This window comes from Homo sapiens, chromosome 11 (genome assembly GCF_000001405.40).
Source record: "Homo sapiens chromosome 11, GRCh38.p14 Primary Assembly".
Taxonomy (NCBI): Eukaryota; Metazoa; Chordata; class Mammalia; order Primates; family Hominidae; genus Homo; species Homo sapiens.
In genome coordinates this window covers 75,273-91,575 of record NC_000011.10, presented here as the reverse complement: position 1 = coordinate 91,575, position 16,303 = coordinate 75,273, and the positions used below count along the sequence as shown (strand labels likewise).

Genomic DNA, 16,303 nt, shown 5'->3' with positions numbered 1-16,303 from the left:
GATCCAAAAATCAGGCCTGGTCGACCTCAAAGTCCAGATTATTGACCTTTCTACCATAATGTATGGAGGTAAGTTTGTGAATTTATTCAAAAATCAGGCCTGGTCAAACTCAAAGTCCAAATTATTAACCTTTCTACCATAATGTATGGAGCTAAGTTTGTGAATTTTCATAGTTTTAGGATTTGAAGATAAAAGAGGTGAAAATTTGGAAACGGTTTCTGGACTTTTGAATTTTGGCAAACAGCTATGTGATAAGTCCACCCTGCAGACCCACAACTTTTGGAAATAACTCTACTGTGATCTTCAGTAGCAGAAGCTGCTCCTGGGGTGGTAGAACACAAGGAAAACACACACTAGTAAAAATTTCATGTGGCTTCTTTGTTCTGTACATGTGTTTCTCTTGATTAGTATATGGTAGTATCCTCAAATCATAGTAACAAGTATACTTTTTCCAGTGAATTGCATGTGTATATTATTGTATAGTATAAAAGGCAATATTTCCATTTATTATCATCTGTGCTTTTCAAAGAAACTCTGTGAGTCCAACAGGGCGATAATAGAAGCAACTGCCCTTTCTCTCCCCCTTTAAATGCAACCCAATGTCAAAGTCCGTAGCATCCCCAAATGAGTGTATTAAAGGTGAGAAATTCCCAAAGTCAAACTCAGTAGCATCCTTGAATGAGTGTATTAAAGGTGATAAATTTATTTTATTTATGTTCTTTTTAACCTGTGTTCTCAGAAACAGAGACTACTGTATTTCATCCTACCTTAGTCTTGCTTAGCAGTTTCTCTTCTCCTTTGAGGCTCTTTTATTTTTAAATCATTGTTCATATCTTCTAATCTCCCCTTTCTCCCATTCTTCCCATATTTTTAATCTTTTTTTAACTTTATCTCTGTTCTACTTTTTCTGTATTTCAAATTGATCCATAGACTTTAGAAAAATGAGTTGAATGCTGGCTGTAGGCTGTCTTATCCCCAGCAAGAAACATGTTGTAAAGTCTTAGTACCTTCCCACTGGAAGATCATTAGTCATGGCTACTATGTTTTTAAATGAGAATTGTTTTAATTATGCATTTTAAAATTATTGGAAAACATGAGGGAGAGGAATGAACCATAAGTAATAAAGATTATTGACTTGAAGTTAAGACCTTACTATGATCTGGGATTATTAGTCTTACTTGTCAATCAAGAACTATCCACTTTCTATTCGTTTGTGGGTATCTAATATGGTTATATACACAGAAGTAATGATAATTGATATGAAAAGGTCTCCTCCTGTTATATCAATTTAGGTATTTTTCACACATTGTATACCTCATTCTTCTCCTATTCAATTTTCACTAATTCCTAAAGGGTCAGGTCAATGTCCTTGGCATAACCTCCTCCACCTGTTCTTAATGGCAATCGTCTCTTCTGCCCTCCAATATCTATAACACTTTTTTCTTTAAAACTCTTTGAATGTTTATCTTAATACTCATTTGATATATATTGTATACCACATATGATTGTTTGTTATATGTACAATACATGTTTTTTCAACTTTTTTTGGTTCTTTCTATTTACAGGAATTAGAGAAAGAACAAATCAGTGTGAAGGAGAATTGTCAGTAAAATTACAAGAAAAGATTGAGATCATAATTGACCTTTGAGGATAATAAAATTTAAAGACCAAAAGGATGGACTTCACAGAAACATGACCTTAGGTTGTTTTTGCAGTTGTAGTAACTGGTTATATGACCAACAAAATATGAAGAATGGGTACAAATTCTGATAGTAATGATCAGTCACTTTGCAAATATAAAGTTACTATTTACTACTGTATTGTACAGGTTCAATAATCTTTGTGTACACATTTTATGTATTTATTGTCAGGCTGCTATATAATTCAGTATTTATAATAGATACTATGTATAGCAATCTATGGTTAGTTTTGGTCTTAACCAGGAAAAATCACTCTTTTGAGTTTTGCTGTTTTTACTAGATTATTTTTACTGGATGATTGCTCATATTATTTGATTATTATTGCAATTTGTCTTTCTGGAATAGGAAGCAAGAGGCCTGAATTCTGGTTCCTATTCTATCAATTGTGTGAATTCTGGAAACTCAGTTTACTTTTCTGGGCCTCATGGTTTTCATCTGAATGATGACCAACTTGGATAAAATGGTCTTTATATAATTTCGTAGGCATTTCCCTTCCCAAGGGCTTGAGTCTTTTTCAACAATTATAGAGTTTTCCGGTCCCTCTTCCCAGTGCCTCAGCACCTTGCTATTCATGTTCATCTGATCAGTTGTTTGCATGCTGACTTACATTACCCTGATGGGCAGTACCTGTGGCTGTTTCTGCTCCCTCACCCAGTCCATAGGCTTCTGGTTGTAAAAAGTGTGCATCTTGAGACTGTGGACAGTTAGCTCCAGAGGTGACAGTATAATCACTTCACGTAGAAGAGGATAGAGAGAGACTCATGCCAGTGGTGGTGAGCAAGTATTAGAGATATGATGTGTGCCTCTGTGAGTTTTGGGGTCTAAGATAAATTATGGCACTAGGAAGATGGTCCTTTGTGTCAGAAGAACTGGAGTTGTTGGTGCAAAAAAGTATGATGTCAGCATAGCAGTTTTATTTGTACCTCAGCAACTTCTAAAATAATCTCTATTAAGTGTTTTCAGGAACTACTTTCTACTATAGGAAAATCATTGAGGTGAGTATCCATCTGGACACAGAGAAATATAACACTGTTTTCTGCTCACCCTCCACTTCACATATAAATACAACATGTGTTAAAGGACTAAATTTCTAGTGTCACAGTTTGTACTTTATAGTTTGAAGTCAATAAGAAAGCTCATATACCTTCCTAAAAGTCACTTGTTAATGTTTGATATTAATCTAATTTTATCATAAATTAAAAGTATAAAACTACAAATTTCTTAAAGATAAAATATCCAAATGGATTCAGTCAAATTAAGCATGATAATATCAAATATCAGAATAGGTTACCATGCAGGAGGTACTGAGTACTTAAAAGGATGGGGAATGCAATGAACATAAAAGCTGGTACCAAGGGGAGGAGGAGACAGTGATGAATTAAAACATTATCTTAACTAATCCAAGTGCTGGTCTTCAATACTTTCATGTGTATAGACAAAGAGAAACTGCAGAGATTTCTCACAACCTCTGTGGCCATTTTATGCATCTTAGCAAAAACTCTGGTGAAATCCCTCCAAAACATATTTATTAGGCATGGAAAAAGCCTTACATGACAGGTGGCATAGGCTCCTTATGAAATCACTGCAGGATGGGAAGCCATTTAGGGCTTCGTAATTGTGAAAGATTGTATAGAAACTGAGGCACTTAAATAGCAGTGAGCATGAGAAAATGTGGTAGATAATGGTGGTGATTCTATTTCTTGTGAAAGTCCACTTACTCTGTTCTGCTACAGTTGTGGGCTTTCCGATTTCACATACCCCAGTCTCTATATTCTGTCTCAATCCACAGCCTACCTCAACTAAGTCCGTCCCAGGCACCTCTTACTGCAGGTGATAATCCATCTGTTAATCATGTTTTCCTCTTATGTCTACTTTCTGTCAGAGAATTGTGGCTGCAAACTGGGAAGGGAAGGAAATTATAAGAATATGTATAAGTACAAATGGAATATGTTGGAAATGAGGAATAGTTAATATCGCAGGTCATTTAAACACCTGATGAATTTCATGGATAGTCAGGAATCTTGTTCTTACCTAATCTGTTAATTTTAGATCAGACATTACACTGAAAGTATTGATGATGGGTTTAAATCAGGTTGCAGCTCACATGTTGTGATAATATTATGTTGATTTTTTGTTTTTAATATGTGAGGAACAGAATAACTGTATACTATTTATTCATAGTGACATTGCAATATTGATTTTAGTACATATTATTATCTTCATAATCACAATTTCCTCCCCATTTTCTTAGTTCTCATAATTTTAGCCACAGCCCAGTTGGCTGGACCAATGGATGGAGAGAATCACTCAGTGGTATCTGAGTTTTTGTTTCTGGGACTCACTCATTCATGGGAGATCCAGCTCCTCCTCCTAGTGTTTTCCTCTGTGCTCTATGTGGCAAGCATTACTGGAAACATCCTCATTGTGTTTTCTGTGACCACTGACCCTCACTTACACTCCCCCATGTACTTTCTACTGGCCAGTCTCTCCTTCATTGACTTAGGAGCCTGCTCTGTCACTTCTCCCAAGATGATTTATGACCTGTTCAGAAAGTGCAAAGTCATCTCCTTTGGAGGCTGCATCGCTCAAATCTTCTTCATCCACGTCATTGGTGGTGTGGAGATGGTGCTGCTCATAGCCATGGCCTTTGACAGTTATGTGGCCCTATTAAGCCCCGCCACTATCTGACCATTATGAGCCCAAGAATGTGCCTTTCATTTCTGGCTGTTGCCTGGACCCTTGGTGTCAGTCACTCCCTGTTCCAACTGGCATTTCTTGTTAATTTACCCTTCTGTGGCCCTAATGTGTTGGACAGCTTCTACTGTGACCTTCCTCGGCTTCTCAGACTAGCCTGTACCGACACCTACAGATTGCAGTTCATGGTCACTGTTAACAGTGGGTTTATCTGTGTGGGTACTTTCTTCATACTTCTAATCTCCTACATCTTCATCCTGTTTACTGTTTGGAAACATTCCTCAGGTGGTTCATCCAAGGCCCTTTCCACTCTTTCAGCTCACAGCACAGCGGTCCTTTTGTTCTTTGGTCCACCCATGTTTGTGTATACATGGCCACACCCTAATTCACAGATGGACAAGTTTCTGGCTATTTTTGATGCAGTTCTCACTCCTTTTCTGAATCCAGTTGTCTATACATTCAGGAATAAGGAGATGAAGGCAGCAATAAAGAGAGTATGCAAACAGCTAGTGATTTACAAGAAGATCTCATAAATGATACAATAAGCCCTTCTCGTTAAACATGATATGGCTTTATGTTTCTTTCTTTGATATTTTAGATTCAGGAACTATGAGACATTATGTATTGATTTGAATGTTATTAGACCTGTAACATAATTCTTATCTGATGAATATATGATGAATATATTCCTTGTTCAAAATGAGTCATAAATTCAACACATCTCTACATCTATATTATGCCCATTTAATTTCTTTCAGCAATGTTTTGTAGTTTTTGGTGAACAGGTACTTTATGCATATGTACTTTATATTTATCTCTAAGTTTTATATTTCTGATGCCCTTTTAAGTGACATTTTTATTTCAATTTACAATTGTTTATTCTTAGCTTATGGGCACATAATAGATCTTTGTTTGACATTATATCCTGTAAACTTGCAAAACTTATTAGTTCCATCAGTTTTTTATAGGTTATGTAGGATTTTCTTTATAGATGATTATGTTGTCAGTGAATAAAGACATTTGCTTTTAAAATTCTAGTATGAATTCACTATATTCATTTTGTTGAATGCTGAGTAGAATTAGTTAGAGCAGACATCTTTGACTTGTTCCTGTTATGAAATATATTAAATATTTCATCATTAAGTATAATGTTAGCTATAATTTTTTTCATAGGTACTCTTTAACAGGCTGAGAAAGTTTTCTGTATTCACAGTTTGCTGAAAATTTCTTTTATCTTTAGTCAGGAATGGATCTTGGATTTTGTAAAGCTTTTTCATTTCAGAATCAGGGTAATGCTGGCCCTTTAGAATGAGTTGGGAAGCATCTGCTCTTCTTAAATTTTCTGCCATAATTTTGTAGAATTCATATAATTTTTTTCTTTAAAAAGGGAAGTACTTAAGTATTTTTTCCCATAAGTTACCCATAAGTAAATCTAAAGGAAAGTGGGAAACTTTGATACGCATTGGTTGCCCCCTGGTGGAGATTTCTGGGTTCTTGATTATTTTAACACTGGAGATAGAATCTGGTGGAATGATGTCAATGCTACCGTGATTAAGAGGTGTGTAGGAAATGCTTCATGTAAGAGAGAAAATAGTCTTTATGAGAATCTGCCTGGTGGAAAGGAGTTGGTGCAACAATAACAATATAAATTAGTGAAAAATTTTAAATTGACAAATAATAATTGTATCTATGGGGTACAATGTAATGTTTTGATACATGTTTAAATTGTGGAAAGATTAGGTCTATCTTATTGACATACATATCTTTTTTGTGGTGAAAACATTTAAAATCTACTCTGTTAGTCATTTTGAAACATACAATACCTTGTTATTTATTACAGTCACCATTCTGTGCAATAGTTCACTGAAACTTTGTCTAACTGAAACTTTGAACCCTTTTATCAACATCTACCTTTTCCATGTCTACCCCCAACTCCTAGCCTCTGATAATCACCATTCCATTCTCTACTTCTATGAATTCAACTTTTTCAGATTCCACATATCAGTGAGATCATGTGATATTTGTCTTTTCGTGCCTGGCTTATTTCACTTAGCGTGATATCTTCTGGGTTAATTCATGTTGTCACATATATCAGGTTTTCCTTCCTATTAAGGCTGAGTAGTATTCCATTGTATATATACACTACATTTTCTTCATCCATTTGTCAGTTGATAGACACCTGTGTTGATTTCATATTTGGGTATTGTGAATAATGCTGCAATGAACATGAGCCTGGAGATATCTCTTCAGCATATTGACTTAAATTCCTTTGGATATATACAAGGAAGTGGGATTGCTGGATCATATAGTAATTCTAGTTTTAGTTTTTTGAGTAACTTTTATCTATTTTTCATAATAGTATTAATTTACATTTCCACCAACAGTGTACGAGGGTTCCCTTTTCTCTGTATCCTCTTCAACACTTGTTATCTTTTATCATTTTGATAGTAGCCATTCTAACAGGTATGAAGTGGCATCTCACTGTCATTTTAATTTGCATTTCCCTGATAATTAGGATGACAAACTTTTTTTATGTTAGTCATTTGTATTTTTTTTGAGAAATGTCTATTTAGGACCTTGCCCATTTTTTGACTTGGTTATTTGTTTTCTTGATATTGAGTTGAGTCCCTTATATATTTGGAGATTAGCCTTTCATCAGATGTATGCTCTGCAAATATTTTCTCACAACTTGTAGGTTGTCTCTTCACCATATTGTTTCCTTTGCTGTGCAGAAGCTTTTTAGTTTGATGCAATCCCATATATTTTTGCTTTTGTTGCCTGTGCTTTGGGGGTTATATCCAAGAAATCTTTGACCAAACCAACATTGTGGAACTTTTCCCCTATGTTTTCATCTAGTAGTTTTACAGTTTTATGTTTAAACCTTTAATCCATTTTGAATTGATTTTTGTGTATGGTGTGAGATAAGGATACACACCATACACATTCGTGTTCTTCTGCATGTGGATATCTAGTTTTCTTAACACCATTTATTGAAACAAATGTCTATTCTTCATTACGTTTTCTGGGCACCTTTGTCAAAAATTTATTGGTCATAAATGCATGAGTTTATTTCTGGGCTCCTTATTCTGTTCCCCTGGTCAATGTGTCTGTTTTTGTGCAAGTGTCATGTTGTTTTGATTACTATGGTTTTGTGATACGTATTTGTTTTGGGGGGGGATCGATTTTTATTTGGGTTTCTCACAGTGGTTAGAGAACAACCACAGCACAGGAAATGCATCGCCAAGATTGCCCAGAAAACTGACCAGCTGCATCTTATTGCTTAAAAATACACATATTCACAATAACTGACAAATGTTGATGTGCCTCACACAGGAATGTGTTCACATTTGCAATGCTGTGTACAGACTTCACTTCGTTCAACATAGATTTTGGTTTAATGGAATTCAAATGCGGATGCTTGTTCACAGCCTTGGATTTGTCTGTTTTTGGAGAGATACAACCTCCATGAGTATATCTGCATGAAAACCACAGACAATGAAGGTATTTCTTCATTGATTTATTTATTCTTTTGACTGTAGCAACAAACCCTGGATGACACCCTTCCTTTTAATTCACCTGGAAACCAGACTCAATCAAATCTCCCTGGTCCCCTCACTATTCCTTCAAATTCCCTATTTCTATCTCTTCCTGAGGAGGGTAACCTCCTGTAGCAGGGGTCAGACTGTGACTTGGGAATCAAGCCTAGGTCTGCAGGTTGCCTTTTCATCTTCTTGTAAAATATTGTAGGACACTGCAGTGAATCCAACAGTTAACACTCAGAGCAGTTCCCTGCTCTAACTCAGGAAAGAGACTTCAGAGGGTCAGGATTCATCCATTTGATCAGTTAACTGAGAAGGATTCATTTTGGTAAAACTTGTTCAGCTTTGAGACACTTCAGTGAGTTGTTTGAGATTTTTTTTTAAATTATATTTTAAGTTCTGGGGTACATGTGCAGAACATGCAGGATTGTTACATAGGTATACACGTGCCATGGTGGTTTGCTGCACCCATCAACCCATCATCTACATTAGGTATTTAACCCAATGCTAACCTTCCCCTAGCCCCTACCCCCAGACAGGCCCCGGTGTGTTGTGTTCCCCTCCCTCTGTCCATGTGTTCTCATTGTTCAACTCCCATTTATGAGTGAGAACATCGGGTGTTTGGTTTTCTGTTCTTGGATTAGTTTGCTGAGAATGATGGTTTCCAGCTTCATCCATGTCCCTGAAAAGGATATGAACTCATCCTTCTTTATGGCTGCATAGTATTCCATGGTGTATATGTGCCACATTTTCTTTATGCAGTCTATCATTGAATGGGCATTTTGGTTGGTTCCAAGTCTTTGCTATTGTGAACAGTGCCACAATAAACATATGTATGCATGTGTCTTTATGGTAGAATGATTTATAATCCTTTGGATATATACCCAGTAATGCGATTGCTGGGTCAAATCATATTTCTAGTTCTAGAACCTTGAGGAATCACCACACTGTCTTCCACAATGGTTGAACTAATTTACACTCCCACCAACAGTGTAAAAGCATTCTTATTTCTCCACATCCTTTCCAGCATCTGTTGTTTCCTGACTTTTTAATGATCGCCATTCTATCTGGCGTGAGATGGTATCTCATTGTGGTATTGATATGCATTTCTCTGATGACCAGTGATGATGAGCTTTTTTTCATATGTTTGTTGGCTGCATAAATGTCTTCTTTAGAGAAATGTCAGTTCATATCCTTCACCCACTGATGGGTTTGTTTGTTATTTTCTTGTAAATTGTTTAAGTTCTTTGTAGATTCTGGATATTAGCCCTTTGTCAGATGGATAGATTGCAAAAATTTTCACCCATTCTGTAGGTTGCCTGTTCACTCTGATGACAGTTTCTTTTGCTGTGCAGAAGCTCTTTAGTTTAATTAGATCCCATTTGTCTATTTTGGTTTTTGTTGCAATTGCTTTTGGTGTTTTAGTCATGAAGTTTTTGTCCATGCCTATGTACTGAATGGTATTGCCTAGGTTTTCTTCTAGGGTTTTTTATGGTTTTAGATCTTATGTTTAAGTCTTTAATACATCGTGAGCTAATTTTTGTGTAAGGTGTAAGGAAGGGATCCAGTTTCAGTTTTCTGCATATGGCTAGCCAGTTTTCCCAACACCATTTATTAAAAAGGGAATCGTTTCCCCATTGCTTGTTTTTGTCAGGTTTGTCAAAGATCAGATAGTTGTAGATGTGTGGCGTTATTTCTGAGGCCTCTGTTCTGTTCCATTGGTCTACATATCTGTTTTGGTACCAGTACCATGCTGTTTTGGTTACTGAAGGCTTGTAGTATAGTTTGAAGTCAGACAGCGTGATGCCTCCAGATTTGTTCTACTTGCTTAGGACTGTCCTAGCTCTGCGGGCTCATTTTTGGTTCCATATGAAATTTAAAGTAGTTTTTTCCAATTCTGTGAACAAAGTCAGTGGTAGCTTGATGGGGATAGCATTGAGTCTATAAAAACTTTGGGCAGTATGTCCATTTTCATGATATTGATTCTTCCTATCCATGAGCATGGAATGTTTTTCCATTTGTTTGTGTCCTCTCTTATTTCCTTGAGCAGTGGTTTGTAGTTCTCCTTGAAGAGGTCCTTCACATCCCTTGTAAGTTGGATTCCTAGGTATTTTATTCTCATAGTAGCAATTGTGAATGGGAGAGTTCACTCATGATTTGGCTCTCTGTTTGTCTGTTTTTTGCATATAGGAATGCTTGATTTTTGCACATTGATTTTGTATCCTGAGACTTTTCTGAAGTTGCTTATTAGCTTAAGAAGATTTTGGGCTGAGACCATGGGGTTTTCTAAATACACAATCATGTCATCTGCAAACAGAGACAATTTCTTTCTCTTGCCTGATTGCCCTGGCCAGAACTTCCAATACTACGTTGAATAGGAGTGGTGAGATAGGGCATCCTTGTCTTGTGCTGGTTTTCAAAGGGAATGCTTCCAGTTTTTCACCATTCAGTATTGGCTGTGGGTTTTTCATAAATAGGTATTATTATTTTGAGATATGTTCCATCAGTACCTAGTTTATTGAGAGTTTTTAGCATGAAGGGCTGCTGAATTTTGTCGAAGGCCTTTTCTGCATCTATTGAGAGAAGCATGTGGTTTTTGCCATTGGTTCTATTTATATGATGAATTATGTTTATTGATTTGCGTATGTTGAACTAGCCTTGTATCCCAGGGATGAAGCCGACTTGATTGTGGTGGACAAGCTTTTGATGTGCTGCTGGATTTGGTTTGCCAGTATTTTATTGAGGATTTTTGCATCGATGTTCATCAGGGATATTGGCTTGAAATTTTCTTTTTTTTGTGTGTGTCTCTGCCAAATTTTGGTACCAGAATTATTCTGGCCTCATAAAATGAGTTAGGGAGGATTCTCTCTTTTTCTGTTGTTTGGAATAGTTTCAGAAGGAATGGTACCAACTCCTCTTTGTACCTCTGGTAGAATTCGGCTGTGAATCCATCTGGTCCTGGACTGTTTTTTGGTTGGTAGGCTATTAATTACTGCCACAATTTCAGACCTTGTTATTGGTCTATTCAGGGATTCAACTTCTTCCTGGTTTAGTCTTGGGAGGGCGTATGTGTCCAGGAATTTGTCCATTTCTTCTAGATTTTCTAGTTTGTGTAGAGGTGTTTATAGTATTCTCTGATAGTAGTTTGTATTTCTGTGGGATCAGTGGTGGTATCTCCTTTATCATTTTTTATTGCATCTGTTTGATTCTTCTCTGTTTTCTTCTTTATGAGTCTGGCTAGTGGTCTATCTATTTTATTGATATTTTCAAAAAACCAGCTCCTGGATTCATTGATTTTTTTTTGAAGGTTTTTTTGTGTCTCTATCTCCTTCAGTTCTGCTCTGATCTTAGTTATTTATTGTCCTCTGCTAGCTTTTTGTATGCTCCTGCCTCTTGAGTTCTTTTAATTGAGATGTTAGGGTGTCAATTTTAGATCTTTCCTGCTTTCTCTTGTGGGCATTTAGTGCTATAAATTTCCCTCTACACACTGCTATAATTGTGTACCAGAGATTCTGGTATGTTATGTCTTTGTTCTCATTGGTTTCAAATAACTTATTTATTTCTGCCTTAATATCTTTATTTACCCAGTAGTTGTTCAGGAGCAGGTTGTTCAGTTTACATGTAGTTGTGTGGGTTTGAGTCAGTTTCTTAATCCTGAGTTCTAATTTAATTGCACTGCGATCTGAGAGACTGTTATGATTCCCATTTTTTTTTGCATTTGCTGAGGAGTGTTTTACTTCCAAATATGTGGTCAATTTTAGAATAAGTGCAATGTGGTGCTGAGAAGAATGTATATTCCGTTGATTTGGGGTGGAGAGTTCTGTAGCTGCCTATTGGATCCACTTGGTCCAGAGCTGAGTTCAAGTCCTGGATATCCTTGTTAACTTTCTGTTTCGTTGATCTGTCTAGTATTGACAGTGGGGTGTTAAAGTCTCCCACTATTATTGTGTGAGGGTCTAAGTCTCTTTTTAAGTCTCTAAGAGCTTACTTTATGCATCTGGGTGCTCCTGTGTTGGGTGCATATATATTTAGGATAATTAGCTCTTCTTGTTGCATTGATCCTTTTACCATTATGCAATGCCCTTATTTGTCTCTTTTGATCTTTGTTGGTTTAAAGTCTGTTTTATCAGAGACTAGGATTGCAACCCCTGCTTTTTTTTGCCTTCCATTTGCTTGGTAAGTATTCCTCCATCCCTTTATTTTGAGCCTATTTGTGTCTTTGCACGTGAGATGGGTCTCCTGAATACAGAACACTGATGGGTCTTGACTCTTTAGCCAATTTGCCAGTCTGTGTTTTTTAATTGGAGCATTTAGCCCATTTACATTTAAGGTTGATATTGTTATGTGTGAATTTGATCCTGTCATTACGATGCTAGCTGGTTATTTTGCTGTTAGTTAATGCAGTTTCTTCATAGTGTCAACGGTCTTTACAATTTGGTATGTTTTTGCAGTGGCTGATACCAGTTGTTCCTTTCCATGTTTAGTGCTTCCTTCAGGAGCTCCTTTAAGGCAGGCCTGGTGGTGACAAAATCTCTCAGCATTTGCTTGTCTGTAAAGGATTTTATTTCTCCTTCACTTATGAAGCTTAGTTTGGCTGGATATGAAATCCTGGGTGGAAAATTCTTTTCTTTAAGAATGTTGAATATTGGCCCCCATTCTCTTCTGGCTTGTAGAGTTTCTGCTGATAGATCTGCTGTTAGTCTGATGGGCTTCCCTTTGTGGGTAACCTGACCTTTCTCTCTGGCTGCCCTTAACATTTTTTCCTTCATTTCAACCTTGCTCAATCTGATGACTATGTGTCTTGGGGTTGCTTTTCTTGAGGAGTGTCTTTGTGATGTTCTCCATATTTCTGAATTTGAATATTGGCCTGCCTTGCTAGGTTAGGGAAGTTCTCCTGGATAATATCCCGAAGAGTGTTTTCTAACTTGGTTCCATTCTCCCCATCACTTTCAGGTACAGCAATCAAACGTAGATTTGGTCGTTTCACATAGTCCCATATTTCTTGGAGGCTTTGTTCATTTCTTTTCATTCTTTTTTCTCTAATCTTGTCTTCTTGATTTATTTCATTAAGTTGATATTCAGTCTCTGATATCTTTCTTCCGCTTGACCGAATCAGTGCTTGATCCTTGTGCATGCTGCATGAAGTTCTCATGGCGTGTTTTTCAGCTCCATCAGGTCATTTATGTTCTTCTCTAAACTGGTTATTCTAGTTAGCAAGTGGTCTAGCCTTTTTTCCAGGTCCTTAGCTTCCTTACATTGGGTTAGGACATGCTCCTTTAGCTTGGAGGAGTTTGTTATTACCTACCTTCTGAAACCTACTTCTCTCAATTCGTCAAACTCATTCTCTGTCCAGTTTTCTTTTGTTCCCTTGCTGGTGAGGAGTTGTGATCCTTTGGAGGAGAAGAGGCGTTCTGGTTTTTGGAATTTTCAGCCTTTTTGCTCTGGTTTCTCTCCATCTTCATGGATTTATCTACCTGTGGTTTCTGATGTTGGTGACCTTCTGATGGGGTCACTGAGTGGCTGTCCTTTTTGTTGATGTTGATGCTATTCCTTTTTGTTTGTTAGTTTTCCTTCTAACAGTCAGGCCCCTCTGCTGCAGGTCTGTTGGGGTTTGCCCTAGGTCTACTCTAGACCCTGTTTGCCTGGGTATCACCAGCAGAGGCTGGAGAACAGCCAAGATTGCTGCCTGTTTCTTCCTCTGGAAGTTTTGTCCCAGAGGGGCACCCACCAGATGCCAGCCAGAGCTCTCCTGTATGAGGTGCCTGTTGGCACCTACTGGGAGGTGTCTCCCAGTCAGGATACACGGGGGTCAGGGACCCACTTGAGGAGGCAGTCTGACCCTTATCAGAGCTCGAATACTGTGCAGGGAGATCTGCTGCTCTCTTCAGAGCCATCAGGCTTTTCAAAGATGCTTTAAGTCTGCTGAAGCTGTGCCCACAGCCGCCCTTTCCCCTAGGTGCTCTGTTCCAGGGAGATGGGGGTTTTATCTATAGGTCTCTGACTGGGGCTGCTGCCCTTTTTTCAGAGATGCCTTGCCCAGAGAGGAGAAATCTAGAGAGGCAGTCTGGCTGCTGTGGCCTTGCTGAGTTGTGGTGGGCTCCACCCAGTTCAAACTTTCTGGTGGCTTTGTTTACACAGTGGGGGTAAAACTGCCTACTCAAGCCTTGGCAATGTGGAAGCCCCTCCCCCCACCAAGCTCTAGTGTCCTAGGTCAACCTCAGACTGCTGTGCAAGAATTTCAAGCCAGTGGATCTTAGCTTGCTGGGCTCTGTAGGGGTGGGACCCGCCGAGCCAGACCACTTGGCTCCCTGGCTTCAGCCCCCTTTCCAGGAGAGAGAATGGTTCTGTCTTGTTGGCATTCCAGTTGCCACTGTGGCATGAAAAAAAAAAAACCTCCTGCAGCTAGCTCGGTGTCTGCCCAAACAGCTGCCTAGTTTTGTGCTTGAAACCTAGGGCCTTGGTGGCAGAGGCACTGGAGGGAATCTCCTGGTCTGTGGATTGTGAAGACCATGAGAAAAGCATAGTTTCTGGGTGGAGTGCACCGTTCCTCATGGTACAGTCCCTCGGGGCTTCCCTTGGCTAGGGGAGGGAATTCCCCCAACCCCTTGCACTTCCTGGGTGAGGCAACACCCCATTCTGCTTTGGCTCACCCTCCGTGGGCTGCACCCACTGTCCAACCAGTCCCAGTGAGATGAACCAGGTACCTCAGTTGGAAATGCAGAAATCACCTGCATTCTGCATTGATCTCACTGGGAGCTGCAGACTGGAGCTGTTCCTATTTGGCCATGTTGCCAGCAAATTCTGAGATTTTTTTCAAAAGTGCAAAGAAAGACATCTGAGGGGTGCTGACATATTCGGGTCACCTCAAGCCACATGCCAGCTTGCTTGCCCCTGTTGGATTCAGCAGAGGGAGATAGGCCTTGCCATACCTGTGGTGTCTGCCAAAGCTTCCTCCTGGCAATTCTTGGGAGTGCTGATACCTGGGCCACAGTTAGTCCAAGTTTATCACTGAAGATCCTATCAAAGTTTTGTCTGAAATTCCACTTTTGCCTTTTGTCCTAAGTGGTTGTGGACATCTCCAGGGGCTGATACCAAGGACTAGGAACAGCTGAGGGAGGCAGAAAGGTTCAGAGTACATCTCTATTTACAGGGAACAGAACACCGGCCTCCGAGAGTCCATGGAGCAATGGGAAAATTGCAGTGATTACTCATCACTGTGAAACTTCTACTTTGAATACAGTATCTTCTGGCAAGCATAGGGGACTGCAGTCGACAATGCTGCTGAATATACCTGAGTACATAGTAAGACATTTGTTTGGTAAACAGTCAATGCATACAATAAATTACCTTGAGAGGGCCATCTGTGCTCCAGATGTGAGAGTTCATGTGAATAGAATGGCTGCAATTCAAAGAATCTTCACAGGAAAACAGGGCTCAGAGCTCATCCACAATGGACAGACAGGGAGGGAAACAGGTGGAGGTTAGTTCACCACTTCCTCATAAGAAGGTAATAAATAGTTTGGTGAAATAAAATGGTAGCACTGAGTAATTGCGGGCTTCTGGATAGGCAGTCAGGTTGATTTCATGTTGCTACTGCTGGACTTGAGGGCTGGCTTGGCTGTGGTGGCAGACACAGCAGCAGCTCAGGATGATGGTGATGGTCCACGCCAGCCAGAACCACCAATGTTCATAGTAGTAGTTACAACACTGAGACTGCCCATAGCAGTGTCCTGTTGTGTCACAGATGTAGCTTTGATTGTTGGTACACACACAGGCTTCCTTATCCTGTGGGGGTTCAGCCCTGGCTGACACAGGGCTGGGCAGTGCCTAGAGGTGCAAGAGCTCCATGCCACCCAGGAGTCTTCCCTCCATACTCCTCCTGCTCCTCCGACCCAGCGTGGGCACCTCCCTCCACCCTTGCTGCACTTCTCCTCTACCCTCTTCTTCCTTCTTTTGTTCTTTTCCTGTAATATGTTTTGAAGTCAGATTGTGAGGCCTTCAGCTTTGTTCTTATTGCTCAAGAGTCCTTTAGTTATTCAGGATCCTTTGTGGTTCCATATAAATTTTCAAATTGTTTTTTCTATTTCTGTGAAGAATGACATTGAAATTTTGATAAATATTGCATTAAACCTATAAATCGCTTTGGGCAGTAAGGACATTTTAAGAATATTAATTCTTCCTACCCATGAACATAAAATATCTTTCCATGTATTTGTGTCATCTACAATTTTTCATCAATGTTTTATAGTGTTCAGAATACAGATCTTTCACCTCCTTGGTTAAATGTACTCCTAAGTACAATCCTAAATGTGCTCCTAAACAAAAAAAATACGTTTTTTTTGATGCTACTGTGAATGAGATTGATTTCTT

General features: G+C 38.8%; 2 pseudogenes; one reads left to right on the top strand and one right to left on the bottom strand.

Annotated features, from left to right (window-relative positions):
• Positions 3,990–4,927, top strand: OR4F2P (olfactory receptor family 4 subfamily F member 2 pseudogene; annotated as a pseudogene).
• Positions 15,395–15,901, bottom strand: WBP1LP10 (WBP1L pseudogene 10; annotated as a pseudogene).